Source organism: Homo sapiens, chromosome 5 (genome assembly GCF_000001405.40).
Source record: "Homo sapiens chromosome 5, GRCh38.p14 Primary Assembly".
In the NCBI taxonomy this organism is placed as follows: Eukaryota; Metazoa; Chordata; class Mammalia; order Primates; family Hominidae; genus Homo; species Homo sapiens.
Genome location: NC_000005.10, coordinates 17391534 through 17413027, shown reverse-complemented (window position 1 = coordinate 17413027; position 21494 = coordinate 17391534). Strand labels below are relative to the sequence as shown.

Genomic DNA, 21494 nt, shown 5'->3' with positions numbered 1-21494 from the left:
ACCTTCTGCAGGAATGGCATGATGCTAGCACTTCTGCCTTGCTCAGTCACAGGCTGGGAGCAGCCCCGGGAAAACATAGCCTCTGCATGAATGCCCCAGTGCATTTGAAGACAGAGCAGGTGGACGGTGTTCCCCAGCCTCCCACCTTGAAGCAAGTTCTCTTGAAGGGAGAGCTGAGCAAGGCGCCTCATGGCTCTACATGCATATCTGCTATCTTGATATTTTGCTAGCTCTGCCCTAGAGCTTTCCCAGGAAAACAAACAATTCAGCACCTCGAGAAGAAAATAGCATTAGCAGCACATGACGTAGGCACACTGTAGTACTTTTTACCTTTCATTCTTTGCCTGAGAAAATAATTCCTATTCCTGAAACAAGAATATTATATTTCTTTAACTCAATTATTGTATGTTAGAAATAAAAGGAGGCTTTAGAAGTAATTGAGTAGGTTTATGTATGAGGAGATCTGATTTAATTTACACAGGCTTTCTCTCCTACCTCTTACCCACCATATATTTCTTGATCTTTCTTCAATTCATTCACCTAGAAACCAGACATCTGGGTGATGTGGTAGGACTGCCTGGAGGAATTCCAGGATTGCCCTTACTCTGGCACAATTCTAGCAGAGGCTTATGTGTGGATTTAATATCCAATGGATGATTCTGGGCCTCGTCTAAATTCCAACAAATTATCTCACCCCGCAGAATGCCCCCAAACTGCGCTTACTTTATTGAGATAAAAAGGGCTTATGTTTGTCCTGTGTTTCAAATGCACATGACTGCATCCCTTGCCTGTTCTTCTCTTCTACTAAAATCTACCTTCATGTTATTCATGCCTGTGTTGCCCTGACTACAGCTCAATTGGCTTAAGTGCTGTATTTTTTGAAATAGCTCAGAGCGTGTATGTTCTCCAAGTTCTTGGGTCTCCTACACTTGGCTGTAGAATGTTTTTCAAAGCTCAGCAACCTGATTCAAATTGCCTAGAAAGCTTTTAATAGAGGCTTGTTTCTCAGGCACACTGACACCGTGTTCAATAATCCGTGGAAAGCCCATTTTTTGCTTCTTTTTGGCACAGGATAACTGGAACAATCAGATCATGTACTTAGTTGGCATCACATCGGAACAGATTTGCTTCTTAACCTAGAAAAGAAATACGAATATCTCGCTAATTGACTTGAAAGCTAGAACGTGTGTTCATTTCCTACATCAGGCAGGTTTCTCATTGTTTATGTAAATCTCAAGGCATCTATCCATAGGCTACTAAGTTTCAGGATATAGACAAGTCATTACAAAAACCTCTTACACATTGCTCATCTGTATGCTTGTCTATTTTAAGCTAATATAGTGACTTCACTTTGAACTTTCTTTCATCATACTCCCACTTTTTCCTTATGATCTCTAGATAGTACAAAAAACACTGAGTCTGTACTGAGTTATTTTGCAATGTAAATTCCATAAGAGTAAGGGCTGTGCTTCCTTTATTGCTGTTCCTTCCATACCACAAAGACGTTTTACTGAGAGCCAAAAAACATCATTATCTTTCTCAGGAGTGACTGTGGATTGCAGAGCAATTCTACTCAGATACCTAGATAATAATAGCTAAACACATTTGTTAAGGGCTTATTATATTAATAATATACTAATAGGCACTGTTCTCATATTGGTAGACAGACATACACAGATATTTTTATATGTAGATATGTATGTATATACACATATATACAACTGATTCTCATTATTTGTAGTTTTTATGTTCCGTAAAGTTGCAACAAACACTAAATTAGCAAATATTGAACTACTGCTCCTTTGGGAAATACACAATTAGGTTCCTAAGAGCATCTGGTCACAACATTTTGATTAATCAATCAATTCATAATTGATTTTATTTTAGTTGTGTTTCTTATTTAATGTATAATGTTGATTCACTAACATTAAGCTCAACAGCACTGTAACTCATGTCTGAATGACGTTTCTCTGATACGCACATTTTCTCCATAAGGACTCCATCATAGACTTCTTGCCTTTAGGAACACTAGACAAGATATGAGCATTGCACATTGCAGTGGGGGGGTGCATTTTAGACATCAAAATCACCCACAAAAAGCACGGAAATGTGAAAACGTGGCATTATATATGGAGAGAGAAAAGGGCCCTTGTTTACAGCATGAGAGCTGAAACAAGAAGGCAGAACATATAGTTATTTGAGCTCACTGGGAAATGGGCGTCAGGCAGTTCTCAAATGTTTTGCTACGTTGTGCGTATCCACAAATGATCACAAAAATGCCATAAGAATTGACTGATTTGGAGGTTTGAAATAAATATTAGCAAGTAGGCAAAATTGCAAATATGGAATCTATAAATAATGATAAGTGACTGTATGTGTATAAGTACACACATATATACATGTCCAGAGGAGGGAGTGTGTGGAGATATTTAATGCTGAGGCACATAATACTGCTATCCCTATTTTATAAACCTGAGGCAGGTAATACTGCTATCCTTATTTTACAAATGGAGGGATGGAAAAGTTAGGTAAGCAGCCAAAAGCTATAAAGCTGGAAAGTCTTTAAACCCAGGGATTTGAAATCCAGAGCATGTTTATCTGATACTCAGTTAAGAGTTAACAGTTAGTTTTTGTTTTGTTTTGTTTTTCTTTATTTTCTAAATAAACAAGTATTTATTGAAATACAACATGAAGGCAGGAAAGTACACGTAGCCTAAGTGTATCCTTGATGAATTTCACTGAATGAAGAAGCCCAGGCAACCAAGACTGAGATCAAGAAACAGATCAGATACCCTTGAAGCCTCTTGGGGACATCTTCCTGTCACCACCACCCCACCAAGGGCAACAACTGTCTTCACTTCCGAGTATTAATTACTATTTAAAATAAGATTCACACCTAGTACCTCAACCTTGGTTTCTAATGCCATTCTTCAGTCAAAGGAACCAGGGCACCTTGGAGAAATGGCTAGCTCTAAGACTGAAGCAGGAACACCTAGGGCATCCTATAATGCCAGAAAACAAAGAAGTGCTAAGTACTAGTCACAATAGCAAAATCATGGAATCAACCTAAATGCCCATCAATAGTATACTGGATAAAGAAAATGCGGTACATGTACACTGTGGAATACGACACAGGCATGAAAGAAGAACAAGATCATGTCCTTTGTAGCAACATGGATGGGGCTGGAAGCCATTATCCTAAGCGAACTAGCGCAGGAACAGAAAACCAAACACTGCATGCTCTCACGTACAAGTGACAGCTAAACATTGAGTACACATGGACACAAAGAAGGGAACAACAGACACCAGGGCCTGCTTGAGGGTGGAGGGTGGGAGGAGGGTGAGGACCAAAAAACTACCTACTGGGTACATGCTCATAACCTGGGGCTGAAATAATATGTACACCAACCCCCCAAGACATGCAACTTACCTATAGAGCCAACCTGCTCATGTACCCCTGAAACTAAAAGTTCTTTTCATAAGTGCTAAGAAAAAAAAAAAAACCCACAATTATGGGCATGTCAAGAAGACAAAGGGGCCAACAGAACATGCTCCCAATGGCTAATGCTGGCACAATTCGGGCACAAAGATAAATAAAATCTTTTGGATTATAACTCAAAACATAACATGAATACCCATGAGTCCATACTGATATAAATAAATGACTGAAAAAATAAATAAATGGAGAAAAATAGACAAATCTCCAGTGCAGAAGAATTCCAATATATAATCTTCCCTCAAGGAGGTGGAGAATAACTCTCCACTCCTTAAGTGTGAACTATGCATAGTGACTTTCTTCCAGAGAATACCGTTCTCCATTGCTGCCCCAACTCTGAAGGCAATCTACTCTTTACTGGCCTATCTTTAATGACTTGCCTGTGGAGAAGAATTCAGGTATACCAGAAATACATCAAACTAAGATTCAGAAGACCTGAATTATTGTCTTAATTCTGACACATACTATTGGGTTAGTCACAAATTCTGAACCTCTTTGCAAAATCGAGGAGAAAATTCTCCTTTGTCCTTGTAAGTTCTCATAATTGTGGTTATATGTACAGGCTCTCAAGGCTAAGTTCAAATACCAACACTGCCACTTATTAGCTCTAGGCTCCTAGATAAGAAACTTGATCTCCTTCCACGTTAATATCCTCATTTATAAAGTAAATAGTAGTGCCTACATTCATGAGTTTTTATGAGGAATAAGTTACATGATACATAAAATATGTAGCATCTGATGTAGAAAACAACCAATATATACTAGAAGCTAATAATAATAACAACAATAATAATATGCCTCCCCTTGGAAGTCTACCCTGGTTCCAAGCATCATCTTCTTCAGACAAGTCTTGGTTTAACAGCAAAAAGCTCTTCTGTGATTTCTTACGCTTTTCTGGCTTCTCAATCCCCCATCTGTTGGACACATATTTTTCTTTAAATATATGGATACATTTCATTGACTGAGACTTGAGGTCCCACTGGCCTAGGATCATTTTTCCCCTAATCAGTATCTTTGCAAATCCCTACTCTTGCTTCCTTATAACTCAGTTTTACAGTGTACTCAGAGGGCTTTCTCGAGTTTCCTAATGCAGCATTCTTTTTTTTTATTTTTATTATTTTTTTTTTTTTGAGATGGGGTCTCACTCTGTTGCCCAGGCTGGAGTGCAATGGCGTGATCTCGGCTCACTGCAAGCTCTGCCTCCCAGGTTCACTCCATTCTCCTGCCTCAGCCTTCCAAGTAGCTGGGACTACAGGCGCCCACCACCAAACCTGGCTAATTTTTTGTATTTTTTAGTAGAGACGGGGTTTCACCATGTTAGCCAGGATGGTCTCCATCTCCTGACCTCATGATCCACCTGCCTCGGCCTCCCAAAGTGCTTGATTACAGGCATGAGCCACGGCACCCGGCCTAATGCAGCATTCTTAAGGAGCCCATTGTAGTGCCCAGTTTGGTCATAAGCTCTGACTGGAGAAACTGTAGTTTCTTTGAGTACACAAATAACTCTATAATTAGATTTCAGTCACACACATGGCAAACATCTACATATAGATCTTTAACACTTCATATCTCGAAAGAGACTGAAGAAAAATATTGAACACACCCATTTCTTTACAAATAATGCCAAGTGGAAATGTAATAGTTCATTATGGGCCTTGACTCAGTATGTAATTTCTACACATATGTCATATAGTAGACGGTAAATTTAAAAAAAAACCGAAATTCAAATGCTAAATTCATATATACTTTACTTTTATATTAAAAAGTTTCTTAGTTAAAGGTTCAAAGTAAGCTTCGAATCCTCTCCAACTGAGATGCAGACAACTTTGGCAGGCAATCGTGAGCTCCTTCAATCTCTACCTTCTCTCCCGCATGAATGCTTGCAAGCCAAATTTCCATCAGCCGGGCAATTTCACAAGCTTTGCAAACTCATCTGTGTTCTTATTAGTAGTCGTTATTAAATGTTTACAACACACAAAAACATGTGAACACCTATGGAACATCCACTAGTTTAAAAAAGCCAAATGGCCAGTTGCAGTGGCTCACGCCTATAATCCTGGCACTTTGGGAGGCCAAGGCAGGTGGATCACCTGAGGTCAGGAGTTCGAGACCAGCCTGGCCAACATGGTGAAACCCCATCTCTACTAAAAATACAAAATTACCCAGATGCGGTGGTGCACTCCTGTAATCTCAGCTATTCAGGAGGCTGAGGCAAGAGAATGGCATGAACTTGGGAGGCAGAAGTTGCAGTGAGCTGAGACTGCACCATTGCACTCCAACCTGGGCAACAAGAGCAAAACTCTGTCGCAAAAAATAAATAAACAAAAATAATTTAAAAAGCCAAATGTTGATAATGAATTAAGCCCCACCCCATGAGCTCCTCCCCACCCAACAAGAGTATGAAATATGTGAAGAGGTTAATAGAAATTATCCTCTTATAAAGATGAGGAAATATAAGGTGATGTCTGGTAACGTGCCCAAAGTCTTAATACAGCAAATGGACATTCAGTCACAAGTGACTATAAAGAGATATTCACAGCCAGAATTTGTTGGACAAATCATGAGCAGAGTAAGTCCAGAGGGTGAAGAGAGAAACAGGGCTTTAAATCAGAGTAGGGAAATTGTTCAAAATAAGCAGTGTATGTTATTACTTCACAGTATGTGGATTTATTTCCCAGATTGTGACAATATGGGGAGACATCAAGGCCAGGAAAACCCTGGACTTTGAATCCAAAAACCTGGGTTTGGATATCTGCTATACTTACTAATCAAACGTGACATCAGGAATGAGTCAGAAAGTGTGGTAATGTATCAGTTAGCATTCAGCTGCCAATAGGTGTGTCAGCACAGTTAACTTTTAATTATCTCACACACTGTGAAACTCTAGGTAAGTGGTTCCAGATTTGGTGCAGTAACAAACTGATGTTATCAGAGATGTAGGCTTCTTCTTATTCTCCCTTCAACCTTTGTATCATTTCTCTATCTTCTATCATCCAAGATATGCGATGAATTTTTTTTTCCCTTAGGCTTACTGCCTTATGGGCTAGACCAAGATAGCTGCCACAGAGCCACAATCATTCTCTGGCAGAATTGCATTCATGGCAGGAAAATAGGGCGAGGGGCTGAACCAGGGAGCTGTCTTTTTGCACCTGACCCTTTCCACAGAAAGAAACACCTTTTCTAGAAGCCCCTAAGTGGAATTCTCCTTAGATCTCATTGGTAACATGGTTGCCCTGAGGTGCGAGGGCAATCATTTACCAATCCTTGAAAAATAACTTTTCCAGGAAGAAAATGAAATGATTCAACTGCTTGATATTCAGCTAACAGTACCCATCAAGGATATCCCTTGTTATTAATGGAATTGTGTGTGAATTCATGTCTATACTTGTATGCACACAGTCACACATATGTTTTGCTCATAAAACAATTGGGACACTTATGCCCTTTTGGCAGAGTGGAACAAAGTAAACGTGAACAGAGATTTCTACCCTTTTCAAATAAATAAAAAAATAAGGCATTTTAAGATGACTTTAGAAATAATTTGCTAATAACAATTACTCTTAAATGTTCCTTAAACTTTACACATGTGCTTAAAAATAATAAAACTATTTATGTAGTAATCACAATTTTAGTCATATGAGTCTTAACAGGTTTTGTAACGATCACTGGGGTTTGACTACACCTGTGATTAAAGCCATTTTTAGTTTTATTTTTGCGACTTATTACACTATTTTTCAGTGTTTGCTTTTTAAATAATTGTTAGAGGAAATATATAACCTTTTATAAAAGTAATTTTGGGTGTAAACTAATTTTTTCTCCTTCCAATTCAGATGTTTTGTTGCTATAGAGAAAATGAATGCAAATTACCAAAATGTTAAGTAGCTAATAAGCTTAATGTCTACTGGGAATGAGGAAAATTATATTCCTCTTATAAAAAGGAAAAGTTATTCACCTCTGCCAAGAGGCATAGAGATATATAATACTCACACATAATACTCACACAGAGATTTGCCTAAATTGACTACAGACCATTGTAAGAAAAAAAAAGACTCAAAAAGATAAAACCAGAAGATGGGTAAAGATAAATCTCTAGTTGTTTCAAAGACCTAAGAAATACATGAGACAAAAGCCCAATGACTTGGCAAGTAATTTCAGGGACTTTGAGTGCCATATTTCTTGGAGAACAAGAACTATACTTCTAAAATGTCAACAAATTATAACAGAAATAAAAGTAAACACAGGTTAGATTAAGCAATGGTTCATCATGATTAAGGATTAATGATCACACCTAGATATTGATTTATTTAAATGTTGTACACACATTGATCTTTGAAGATGATGTAATATAATGCTGTTATAAAGAGTTGCTCTTTTTTTATTGGTTCTTAAAAGAAAGATATAAATTTAAGTGTTCAAAAGTCTTACTAAAACTCCACACCAACTGTCCATGAAAAGCAACAGTTCCTAACTTGTTCCCTTTTATGCCTCCAGCATCTAGCACACAATAATATTCTTGGTAAAATAGTATTTTTTTCAATAGTATTTTTTGATAAAAATAAGCCATTTCATTTTGGTAAAAATAAAATCACAAATATGAAACTGCAGTTCACTTGAAGGCAAATTGATAGAAATAAACTTTCAGTGGTAAGATGAGAGATATTAACACGTAATGGAAAGCTGCAAATATCTCCATAGCCCAGGAAAAAATGCAAAAAGCTATTGAGTAGCCGGGATCTGTTACTCCATAGAAGAGCTGTATCTCTTTATGCAACATTTAGCAATATTTCTAAGCAACTACTTACCTGATTCTTTCAGAATCATTTAGGTGGAAACTTCAGACTCTTTTCCCTTAAACTTGTATGTAACTCCCTCTCAAGAGGAGAAAACCCACCCTCCTCCATGAACACAGGATTTAGAAGGAGAAGAGACTTCCTGTTACCTCCTCATTGCTTTTCCAAAGCACAGCTCCCCAGCCTTGAAATAAAAACACCTGTGTTGAGGCTTATGGTACCCAGCTTTACAGGTCTCTTCTACCAACTGCCTGACTCTCTCCCTGACATTTGTGGAAGATTTGAATATCTAGTAGCTGCCCGCTTTTCTTCTCTATCGCTGTTCCTGAAAACGCTGCAGATGATATCTGTGTCTTAAAAGGGATGATTGACCTGGCATTAAGTACTTACTACCCTTGAACTTCTCAACTGCAGACTTTACCTCCAAAGCCCACTGTGCCACCCCATTCCATGGCAACTGTAGGGTGTGGCCTTGGCTCTGAAATCTTCAGCTTTGCCTTATCACTGCAGGCTCGTAGTCTCCCCTCTCACTCCAAGCTTGAAATCCTTCACTGTTGCATTCTCAATTTAAAAATCTGGTCTGCACCCTCCTCTCAGCACACAGAGCTCTCTGCAATCTGTCCACTGTCCGTTTGTCTCCCCGCATTTCTTACCCCACACAAACAGACTTGCCCCTTTCAGACATCCTGAAAGACTGTGTTTCCAGTGCGGCTTTGAGCTTCCAAAGTGGTGCTTCTTTTGTCCTGCTTTTTCTCTTTTAGTTTACTCCTACTCAGTCCTTCAAACCTAGTCTGAAAGTATTCATTTCTGTTAAAAGCCTTTCCATGTTCCATCTGTGCAGTCTGCTTTATTCGCTCCTTCTTCCGGCTCCCAGAATATCCTTTATATAACTCCTGGGTACACTCGCTAAGGCCAGGAGGATGTCTTGCTCACATTAGTAACTGCAACACCTGGGACAATGTCAGGAAGATGGTAGCTAGGACAAGCCTTGAGGATGTTTTCCAGAAAATATTAACACCAGAGAAACTGGAAAAGAGGACATAATTCCAAGTTTAAATTTTTTCTACTGTACACTTTATACTGGTTTGCTAATACCGTTAGATATTTTTATTCACCCCTAGATAGTGGTTGCATTTTATCCCCTACTGAAGAAGAACACTGCATGGTTACTACACAACAGTATGGACAGTGTTTGAAAGTTGAATGGAAGATGATCAAATGAGGTTAAGCTTTCAAGTTGGGAAAAAGGGAGAAAGTGGGAAAAAGTAAGTATTCCTATAAATTTTTTAAGTCAACAAACATAATTATTTTTGTTTCTTAAGGGCTGTTCTGAAAAATGTGAGGAAACTCACCACTTGGTTAAATTTCAGTCATCAACTGAATTATTTAAAGCAAGAAATCTGAGTTTGATTCTGCTTTCATAAAAGAAGCAAACCAGCAAAAGAGGCCTTTTAGAATTACTATATTACAGTAGTTTAAAATAGAAATGCAGCTAGTGCATTTAACACTTAGTCTTCTTCTCCTTATCTTAGTTCTTTAAAATCATCACCAGTGCCCTGGTGGTTGAAAAATTGAGCTGTAACTCAATCTGTGCCATTAATGGCAGAATCCTGGGTCAGTCTATTAACCTATTTTGATCTCAGTTTCCTCATTTGTAAAATGAGAAGAGAGTGGATGAGTGATTTTTCAAATGTTTTGTTAATTGACAGAACTCCCTTCTTTTTCCCAAAGGAAATGTTACCAGGAATCCTGAGACAGGAAACCTGAAAGGCAGGATGGAGAAGATTCAGCTTCCCTCTCTCCCTCCAGGCACACCCCAGAATTCTGGGAAAGAGAATTGGAAAACTGGCTCAGAGGGTCCTATTTTGAGTCTTTCACAGCAATCCTGGCAGGTCCTGGAGTGGACCTGCAAGAAAGGATGAAACGAGGGCAGGTATGCTAAGCTGATAGCCCACGTTAGCTCAAAGGGAAAAGAACACATTTTTCCTAGTTGTAAGTCTGAAAGTGGAATGAGAGATTAGTCCTGAGATAACCTTGGAAGAATCTGTCCCCACCTCCAGGGTTACAATGTTGACTCTTTGAATGGTATTTCTGCCCTGCGTCTTAACTTTCCTGGAAACCCCTCTGCCTGCTCTGATCCCTGAGCCCAATTTAACCTCTTCCTCCTCATCTTCCTCTTAACCCACCATATGGCTCCCAACACCCACATTTTGGCCCACGATGCTTTCTCTCTGTGACCCACCCGAGCGGGCAGCCCTGATTCAGGAAACAGGGGTTATAGTTACTGGAAAACAGATGCCTCAATGGCAATAGGACAAACTTTGGAACAAAGGAGCTCACGGGTCCTTTACGACCTAAAATCTCTAAATCTCTTGCATTGTCTTGCTCAATTGAAATAAGCCGGGGCTTTGTGTTTCCTCTCACCCGCATTCAAAGAGCTGGTGCTGATGACACTTGATTTTCCTCACTCTTCGTTCCTAAGGCAAAGTGAGAAAATGCTTTCAAAACTAGCTCTAAATTTGGCTCATTTTCGCTCTTTGGAAAAATAGAGAGAGAGAGAAAGAGAAAGTCTCACTTTCCTACTCCTACAACTTATTTTAAAATTTGCAGAGGAATTCCCACAGAACTCCTGCAGTTTAAAAAAAAAAAAATCTATTAGCCTGTAAAATGTCCACAAATTCTTCGGCACCCAAAGCCTAGCCGGCAGCTGGTGCCCCACGGCTATTATTATCCCACCCTGGGATTCACTTGTAAAAGCCTCACACACAGTAAACAAATGTCAGAGAGCAAACACAAAGCTCTCTCTAAACTCAAGACATTCTAATTCTTATCTGTTCACTGTCGAAATGTTTACCTGTCCCTTCAATGTTCTGGGCATCTCAGCTGTCAACTAAAAGGAAGAAGCTGAGCCAAAATTAACATAAGTAGAGAGTTGATTCGGGCCAAGCTTGAGGATTGCCGCCCTGGAGAGTATTCAAGTGGATTTTTAAAGGAAAAAGAAGAAAGCAGTTCCTGAGTTGTTTACCAATAAATTATGTTAAAATAACATAAGGTGTTCTTTGTATTGCAAATTCCAGCAACAAGAAGATAATGTGTTAGGCAGTTAATCTGGAACAAAATGCCTTTAAAACATTACCCCCAGGCAGGGGTGCAGGGTGGGGAGGGAATGATTGGAGTTCCATACTTCTGTCTCTCTGGGCCTGATAAATTTCTCATACCTCATGTAGCTCAGAACGCTCTATTTTTCTTTCCTCACAGACATGTGCCTTAGAACCCTGTATTTTGAAAGTGAAAAGACAAATAATGCATTCCAGGGATCACTGAGGTGATCTCCACCCAGCCCCACTGCAGTGGCCTTGATCTTTTTCAACCGACCCTCCTCCTTCAAAACCATCTCCTGGGGCCCAGCAATCTCTCTTCTGAAGGGGCTAGAGATGCAATGGCTTGAAACTGCAAGATCCCGGACTTCCCGTCCTAATGACATTTTGTTGGTGTCCATTTAGTTAATACACAAACAGGTAGGGAGGCAGTTAGTTGTTCTGCTTGCTGGGATGATGAAATAACAGACTCTTACTCCCAACTTCCCCTTGCTAAAGTGCTAGCTCACCGCAGGACTCATTCGGCGCCCCGTGGGAATGGAGAAAGGGATTACCTGTCAATAATACATGAGCACAGAAAGCCCTAGAAATGTGTGCCTAAGGCCAACTTGAAATGGGGAGTGGGGGAGAAAGAAGTCACTTGACGACACAGAAGGGAGAGAATAGCCCACATTCTGCTACAAATTTTCATTCAGCAAACACTTCTCTCCTCCTGGTCCTTCCACCTGGGTAAATTTCACATTAGCAATCCTGAAACAGCAAATACAGCTCTTTCTAGAAAAAGGCAAGGGAGGGAAAAGAATAAAGTGAATCCGGAGGGCATTGATCGTGTGTGAGTGAGTGAGTGTATGTGTGAATATGAGAGTGTATGTTTGTGTGTATGAGTGTGAGTGTATATGTGAGTTGGCGTATGTCTCTGTCAGCGTGTGATTGTGTGTATGTGTATCTGTGTGTGTGTGTGTTCATCTTTATTTTTACTCCTTTTATTCTTCAACATTGTTGTCTCACAAACTGCCCCCAGCAATGATTTTTGTTCTGTGAAATCTAATTTTCAATCTTTTCATCTCAAGGGTGAGGCGCAGCATAACTTCCACATCAATTTCCCAATATTTCAAGGGATACGTGACTCTACGTAACACTTTTCCAGATCGCTGAATTTAACCGTTTAACTCAAACTCTCACTTTCAAATGAAACACGTCATATATTATAAACTTATTTTCCTTCCTTAGTAAAATACACAAACATGATTCAAAGTTTTCTTGATAGCTGAAGATCATAATTCTGAGCCACTATTTCTTTATATAATATTTCTTTATATAATATTTCTTTATATAATATTTATATATTATATAATATTTATATATTATATATTATATATTGTATATAATATTATATAATATAATATTTCTGTAATATAATCAGCCCTTCGTGGGCCATGACGTGTAGCATGGTGACTTTCTACACAGCAAAATAGTTCCGGTTTTCTTCTCCTCAGACCTGACACCCCCTCTTCCCTGTCACTGCCTGCTAGTCACTGATAGCCTAAGAAAATTACAGTCTCCATCTGCAGCCAATCAGCCACCACACTTGTACCTTTCCACTAGGCTAGGCTGCTTTTATTTTATTTTGACTTATTTTATTCTGTTTCTGCTCCCCTTCTCCAAGCTTCCTTCCCTTCACTTCTGGTCTTTCAGCTCTCAGGCTGGCTCTAGCTGAAGGCTGTCTTGTTTGGTTCTGCTCTGATAAGTGACAATTTCACCACCTTGAGGTATTTAGGTCCCAGTTCTCATTTTTTCAGTTTTTGTTTTGTTGGGGAGTTGTTTAATCCTAGTTCACTTCACTGCTGGAAATAGTTTCTTCGCCTCCTTCGATACCTTCCAATTTAAGGTTTGATGCCATTCTGGGAATGGGAGATGGCCCCAAAACTGCCTCCGATGATCCAGGCTCTGCAGTGATTTCCAAATAGCAGATAAGGAATTGACAGTTGTAGAAATTGGAGCTGGCAGCACTTCCTTAAAAATACATTAACTCCAAAAAGAGAGGAAATAGGCATTTTGAGGGACGAACTCAAATTTTTGCTCTAAAAATGAAAATCCTAATATATAGGATAGATAGGAATTGGATTCAGCAAACTATATGCTATACAAACCTGAAAGTTGCCTCTAATTTCCCAACTGGTAATCTCAATTCTATAATCATGGGCACAGAGTCCATTCCCCAGTGGTCTCAACTCACTTTGGGAGCAGACCGTGTTTACCTGCCACAGTTAGAGAACAATCTTCCCAGTCTTGCATTTCTTCCTTTAGAGAAGGAAGAGCTGAGGTGCAGCCACCTGTTGCACCTTCTGCAACCCTCAAGCTACCAAAATTGTACTTGACAACAGTTTGTTGAAAAATGGACAGAAGTGCCAAATATCCATTTGTCTATTCAAATGTACAAGCCACCTTCCTAGTGAAATGTTGGTTGCAATTGCATTTGAATTAAACTTTAGAGTAGGGGGGAAAGAGACGTGTACATTTCCACTTTTCAGTTCCTTTAAATGCTAAATAGACATCATGATATTCAGTCAGTCCTGCTTCCTGAGGTTATTACCAGGCATGCAAAAGAAATACACTGAACTCTTTTAAGGAAGTGCAGAATATGTGATATTGAAGTATGACAATATAATACCTTAATTAAGGAGTTAATTTTCTATTTCCTCTAATGAATATAATCAACCGCTACCTCTTTGTTCTCCAGTCCATCACTTAATTAATCAGTTCCTCCAAGCAAAGTGAACATATTCTGGTCCCTGAATAAAGTGGAGAAATATCTGCCATAGTCCGTCAGCCTCCAGGCACAGCTGTGTGGAGTTATCCACATCCACAGCCTCCCCTTGCTGGGGCACCGGTAGTCCATGGTTAATGCAGCCCTGGATGACTAGGGGAGGGGCTTAAGCTTGATTCAGACGGGAAATGCACAGATGGTTTTCCCACTTATCTGTCAAAGAAAAACCACATTTCATTCTCCCCAGAAGGTAATGCTGCTTTGTAAGAAAAAAAGTGTGGCTCATTTCGTTGAGACTAAATCTGCAGGCAAAAAACTGAATGAGTCAACCATTAGCATGTGGTCAGGAATTTGACTACCAAAGCCAGCATTGGTTTGTCATCACAATTGGGTCAGTAGATAGAAAGCTGTCAGGCATTGAAGGAAATTTTGGAAGGTAAATACATTATATACAGTTCTAAAATATTAATACTACAAATTTCAATAAGATCAGCACCTGAAAAAAAATCTTGAATAAGCATTGAGTAGAAGAGTCCAGTTGTGAAGGGCTTATAGTAAATGACAAGTGCAGATTCTTCTAGAGCCTGTGACCAAGATAAAGCCCTACCACCAACCATGTTTGGGGTCACAAAAGCTGGGTTGCTCAGTTCAACTTCCATTATCTGATAATCCTAGTGATGCTGTAACAATGTACCACAAACTGGGTGGCCTAAACAACAGAAATGTGTTGTCTTACAGTCCTGGAGAATAGAGGTCCAAGATCAAGGTACTGGCAGGGTTGGTTCCTTCTGAGGGCTGTGAGACAGAACCTGCTCAATGTCTCTTGCCAAACATCTGATGCTGGGTTCAAACGATTCTCCTGCCTTACAGAAGTATCATCCTAATCTCTCCCTTCGTCCTCACATGAGGTTCTTCCTGTGTGCCCAATCTATGTCACCAAATAGCCCCTTTTGTTAAGGACAACAGTCACCTAGGACTAGAGTCCACCTTAATGGCCTCATCTTAACTAACCTGCAAAGACCCAATTTCCACATAAGGTCACATTTTGAAGTACAGGGGTTTAGGGCTTCAACATATGAATTTGGGGGAGAAAGGACACAATTCAACCCCTAATATCTACCCTGGGTGTCCATGCTAAGGTCTGAGGGAGGAGGCAAGAATGCTCATCCAGCTAGGAACCTGTTTGCCAGCTGATCACTGAGCATGCATAGGAAGACAAAGCTAAAACTGAGACAGAGAACCGTGTGGCTAGATGGAGTTTGTCAAACCCTAACTTTGGTTTAAAATCAATGAGTTGGCCGGGCACTGCGGTTCACGCCTGTAATCCCAGCACTTTGGGAGGCCGAGGCAGCTGGATCACAAGGTCAGGAGTTTGAGACCAGCCTGACCAACAGGGTGAAACCCTGTCTCTACTAAAATACAAAATTTAGCCAGGTGCATACCTGTAATCCCAGCTACTCAGGAGGCTGAGGCAGGAGAATCGCTTGAACTCAGGAGGTGGAGGTTGCAATGAGCCGAGATTGCACCACTGCACTCCAGCCTGGACAACAGAGTGAGACACCGTCTCAAAAATAAAAAATAAATCAATGAGTTTATTACATTTCCATATTTAGAATTTGATATGGTTTGAGTCTGTGTCACCACCCAAATCTCATGTTCAATTGTAATCCCTGGTGTTGGAGGTGGGGCCTGGTGGGAGGTGATTGGGTCATGGGAGTGGTTTCTCATACTTGAGCACCATCCCACTGGGTGCTGTTGTGGTGATAGTGAATTATCACAAGATCTGTTTTTTTAATGGTGTGTGGCACCTCCCCCATCTCTCTTCCTCCTGCTCCAGCCATGTAAGACAAGCCTGCTTCTCCTTCACCTTCTGCCATGACTGTAAGTTTCCTGAGGCCTTCCCAGAACCTGAGCAGATTCCAGCATTGTGCTTCCTATACAGCCTGCAGAACCATGATCCAATTAAACCTCTTTTCTTTATGAATTACCCAGTCTCAGATATTTCTTTATAGCAGTGTGAGAACAAACTAGTACGGGATTCATCTTTACTTCATCTGAAGATGAAAATGCATTCAAAATAATATGCAAACCTCTTTCTACTTACTTCCATCATAATCCTGCATAGGTCAACATTGTTGGGTGTTTTAGACAAAATATTCAGGAGAGTCAGCAAGGCATTGGACACAAGCCCTTTACTCAGAACAGAAACAAAAAGGAAGAGCTTGTACCAGGACTTTATTTATTTCCTGTCTTCAAACACACAAAATACTGGTCCACTGAAATTGAAAACATTACCAAAATATTATTTTGCATTCCAAATAAGCAAGGGGTAAAGCTCCATCCCTCCCACTCCCTTGAGTGTGGGCAGGACATACTGACTCACTTCAAAGAAAGTGAAACATAGTAACTTTACAGTGTACACAGCTGGTAAGCATGATCTTACCCAAATGATCAAGGACAACATCGCTAGTGATAAATCACGTGTATGTCATGTAACTCTGATAAGATGTGATGAGAATGGTGTTTTGCCCCTGTGTTACTCTACCCCGAAACCCATAACCCGAATCTAATCTTAAGAAAAACATCAGACAAGCCAAAATTGAAGAATAGTCTATACCACACTTGTCCAATACTCTCAAAACTTTCAAGATGATGAAACACAAGAAAAGACTGAGGCTGGGTGAGCTGGCTCACGCCTGTAATCCCAGCACTTTGGAAGGCCAAGGCAGGTGGATCACCTGAGGTCAGGAGTTCAAGAGCAGCCTAGCCAAAATCATGAAACCCTGTATCTACTAAAAACAATAACAAAAAAAATTACAAAAATTAATCAGGTGTAGTGGTGCATGCCTATAATCCCAGCTACTCGGGAGGCTGAAGCAGGAGAATCACTTGAATCCGGGGGACAGAGGTTGCAGTGAACCAAGATTCCAACACTGCACCCCAGCCTGGGTGACAGAGTGAGACTCCAGCTCAAAAAAAAAAAAGACTGAGAAACTGTCACAGACCAAAGGAGATGTGACAACTAAATGCAACGTGGTAGCCTGGTTAGGATCCTGGGATAGAAAAAGACATTAGGAAAAAACTAGTGAAACTTAAATATAGGCTGGAGTTTAGCTACTAGTAACGCACCAATGGTGGTTACTCAGTTTTGACAAATACACCACAGTAATGTGAACTGATAACATGAAGGGAAAGCAAAGCTGCAAGAGAATTATACAGGGACTGTCTGTGCTATCTTTAGAACTTTTCTGTAAACCCCAGATTTTTCCAAAATAAAAAGTGTATTACAAAATATATATAGAGAGATAGATAGATAGATATAGATGTGTCATTATGAAGCAGAACATATCAAGCCTTGTTTTCTACCATATTCAAGTCTAAATATAAACCCACATTTAAAATTCTATGTATAACATAGAGTCCGAAGTATAATACTTTAAATTGGAAAGAAAAAGTAACAAGATGCTGCTCCTTGTTTATCTTATGAAGACTTAGAATTTTCCTGCATTTCAGAATGTTCAAGGGTCATGGTCCATGTCAGGCAGGATTATTCATGACACAAACCATACTGAAACTCCCTGCTCATAAAAGTGAACCTCTTATTCTTGAGCTAATTCAAAAGATAACTTCTATCACATGCCAATGTTACCCAACCTGAACCAAACAAAAAACATCCTAGTGCAGTTTTCTGCCCCAGGTCCTGAGAGAATCTCGGTTTAATGACTTACCATCAAAGTTAGCTTTGGGATGGGGAACGATGTCAGAGACTTTGCCTGTGTTTTTCTTTGAATCTCAAGTACTCAATTTTTCTCACAGTTATTCAAAATTTAAAGCTCTGGTTGTTTGGATTCAGGAAAACATTTTGTTTACATGTATATGAAGAACTCAAAGTAAAAAGAACTCATTTCAAAGTTCATGGAATTTCAAAAAGAAATAAAGCAGACATCCACTGTGAAGTCGTTGCATCATAAACTAAGAAAGCATCCTGCTCCAGACCAGGGGAAAACGTACTATGTTGGAGGAATATAGAGAAGAAAAAGTCCTTCTACAGAGAATCGACCCTATTACCTACACCAAGCAATAAACTTTGAAAAACCTTTGAAGCTAATTTCCACGGCACCCCAGCCTTTCCTGACCCCACAGTTCAGGAGGAGTTCTCTCTTGACCTCCGCTTCTTTGTTCTGTTCAGGCCTTCAACTGAGTGGAGGAGGTCCACACAAATTAGAGAGGACAACTCATTTTACGTGATCTACCGATTCAAATGTTAATCTTATCCAGAAACCCCTCATAGACATACCCAGAATCATGCAGAGACAAATATCTGGGCACCTTGTGGTCCAGTCAAGTTGACACATAAAAGTAACCATCATCCATGCCACTCCTCCCATCAGATGGTGAAGCCCATTCCCCCTCTCCTTGAATCTGGCCTAGCCTGTGACTTGCTTTGACAAATGCAACAGAGTTGAAGTGTTGTGTGACTTAAGGGATCTTGCATCTCCCATGTTTTGCACTTTTAGAAGACAACTAATATGTAAAGAATCTTGAGTTGGGCTACAGAATGATGAGAGAAAACATGGAGAGAGAGAGAGAGATCTGGCAAGCCCACAGACATTGTAGACATTCCAGCTGAGGCACCAGGTGTGGAAAAACTACTTCAATTCTAGAGCAGTAATTCCGGCCAGCAAATGAATGAAATGAGGCTGACTGCTGAGCCTTGTAAAGAAATTAGAGTCAGAGAAAGTTCTGGTGGACTTAAGTCTCTGATTCTAGCCATCTAGATGCACTTTCTCCTGTTACATAAGATATAATTGTTTGCTTCTAATAAATTTTCCCTTTATTTTTAAGCTAGTTAATGTCACTTGAAAACAAATAGGTCTGGCAAAGTGTGGTGGCTCATGCCTTTAATCCTAGCACTTTGGGAGGCTGAAGTAAGCAGATCTCTTAAGGCCAGGAGTTCAAGACCAGCCTTGGCAACATGGCAAAACTTTGTCCCTACTAAAAATGCAAAAATTAGCAAAGCATAGTGGTACACACCTGTAGACACAGCTACTCAGGAAACTGAGGTGTGAGAATCACCTGAGCCCAGGGAGGCAAAGGTTGCCGTTAGCCATGATCATGCCACTGCACTCCAGCCTGGGCAACAGAGTGAGACGGTCTCAAAAAAAAAAAAAAAAAAAAAAAAAAAAAGATCCTGAATAATATTTGCTTCAAGAGTCATTATGAATAGGTTTATAAACTTCCACCCATTAATTTTCCTTGTAGAATGTTCTTCTAAGAAAACAGGCAAAATCCTGGAAAAAAATGTGTGCAAAAAATCAATGCACAGCAATATCTGTCTCATTGCAAAAATAAAAAATAGATAATCTAGATAGCCAGCCATATGGAAATTATAAAATAAATTATATCATCTTTATAACCAATATCTTCAAGATAGTTTTTTTTTTTTGCTATTTTAAACATAAGTAACATTTATAACAGTAGGTTTTAAAAAATAAGGGTAGATTATATGTACAACATGATTACAACTGTTCTAAAAAATATGGAAAAAAGTCTAGAAGGAAATAAACCAAAATTACAGTGTGAATAATATATGCTAAAGCTTCTGGCTCCATTTTACATTTTTATAGCAAGCAATCATTGGAAAATTGTTAGAAAATTAGTAGTTATCAATTACATAAGTTGAGAATATGGCCTTTTCTGTTTTCCTACACTCAGAAGTCTAGGAAATTGATGGGACATTGTGGTCGTGGTCACAGAGTGTTATAAATACTATATTCCAATTTCTTGAATTCTTAGCCATCATATAAAGATGCAAATCATAGGCAGTTCACTACTCTTTGGTATTCAGTTAACCTATTTGCGCTTTACAGAACCAAAATGCAATTGAGATCACTACTGAACAAGGTTCACCTTGTCCACCCCATTGTTGTCTCTTAGTCATGCAGTTAACCACCTAGGGCAACAAGTTTTTTGATGTCCCATGATCATTCCATTGGAGTAATTACATGTTCTCCAGTTCCATTTTTAAACAGTAATTCAATGGAAAATGAAAACAGAAATTCAACAACTTAAGCCAGTTTTCTTTTGCCATATGCTTGGACAACTGGATAAAATCTTTTCATCCACCAATCATTAATAACTTCCAAATTATTGAAACACTCTTTAGAATTATTTAATATTAATACAACATGCTTAACATTGTATTTAAAAAGAAAAAAGAAAAAAAAATGAATTCCCACCCAGTAATTACTACTTGTGACTCATTACCCCAGAACAGACTAACAAAAGAAAATGCTTGACAATTTTTAAGGAGACTCAAATTGCTGCTGTAGAATTATTAAGATAGTTATTACAAGTTATTTGGATATCAGTTAATGGTATAAAGGAACATGTACTAAGTCTTTTCAGGGTGCAAGGATTAAATTTAGTAAGTAGCTAGCCATTCAGGTCAAATTTTTTAATTTTACTTTTTTTTTTGAGACAAGGTCTCGCTCTACTGCCCAGACTGGAGTACAGTGGTAAGATCACGGGCTCACTGCAGCCTTGACTTCCTTGGCTCAAATGATCCTCACACCTCAGCTTCCCAAGTAACTGGGACTACAGGCATGTGCTACCACACCTGGCTAATTTTTTCACTATGTTACCTAGGCTGGTCTCAAACTCTTGGGCTCAAGCAATCCTCCCACCTCGGCCTCCCAAAGTGCTGGGATTACAGGCATGAGCCTCCGCACCCAGCCTTTTTATTTTTTTCCTTTTACCTCTATGTCTATGTTTAACTGTTCTACATATGACCTGGTTACTCAAAATCAGTTAATATATATCTATTTAGTGCTTATTATGTGCTATAAACATGTTGGAGATCTAGAGGGGAAAACACTAGAATACTTTCCTGCCAACATGGAACTGGCTTTCCACCATCCTCTGAGTTCCCCATTTGCATTCAGGGTCTCACATAATCCAAAACTTACACATTGCTTTGCAGTGGAGCCTGTGGCACCTTTTATGGGTGCTGAACAGATCAGAAGCATGACTGCAGACCTAGCACCTGAGAAACATCTCTGATTTCTTTGGGAAGCTTTTTCTTTGTAAATGATTAAAATAAAAACTACTTCAGCCCTCGGCACGATATTCACCCACAGTCAGGCTGCCCCTCATCGGGTACAGACAGGTGTCAAGGTGAGTACCAGCTCTTTCCCCCTGCCCTTCTGTCAGGTAAGCATGATGTTAGATCATCAAGAAAATTTGGCATATTTTTATAAAATAATCATATCTTTCTCTCTCCCAAGGAAATGGTTTGCGGCTGATCAATTTCCCATCCATGTCAACTAGATGAGAAATAAGGA

General features: G+C 39.5%; 1 long non-coding RNA gene across 2 annotated transcripts in view, besides 2 other annotated features; it reads right to left on the bottom strand.

Moving 5' to 3' along the window:
* The window catches only part of LINC02217 (long intergenic non-protein coding RNA 2217), a 37676-nt gene extending 28667 nt beyond the window's left edge, over positions 1 to 9009 (bottom strand). The window contains exon 1 of one of the 2 annotated variants that reach the window (NR_134275.1): positions 8940 to 9009. This is a non-coding gene — a long non-coding RNA (long intergenic non-protein coding RNA 2217). Of the gene's footprint in view, positions 1 to 8676; positions 8883 to 8939 lie in introns of those variants that run through there. The other variant, NR_134274.1, reaches the window with a different exon arrangement.
* Positions 10951 to 11596: an enhancer, noted in NCBI's record as "OCT4-NANOG-H3K27ac hESC enhancer chr5:17401541-17402186 (GRCh37/hg19 assembly coordinates)". NCBI's record gives its function as "activates a minimal SCP1, AML or CMV promoter by ChIP-STARR-seq in naive H9 embryonic stem cells {active_cell/tissue: H9 hESC(naive)}" and the evidence as "EXISTENCE:reporter gene assay evidence [ECO:0000049][PMID:30033119]".
* Positions 11597 to 12242: an enhancer, noted in NCBI's record as "OCT4-NANOG-H3K27ac-H3K4me1 hESC enhancer chr5:17400895-17401540 (GRCh37/hg19 assembly coordinates)". NCBI's record gives its function as "activates a minimal SCP1, AML or CMV promoter by ChIP-STARR-seq in naive H9 embryonic stem cells {active_cell/tissue: H9 hESC(naive)}" and the evidence as "EXISTENCE:reporter gene assay evidence [ECO:0000049][PMID:30033119]".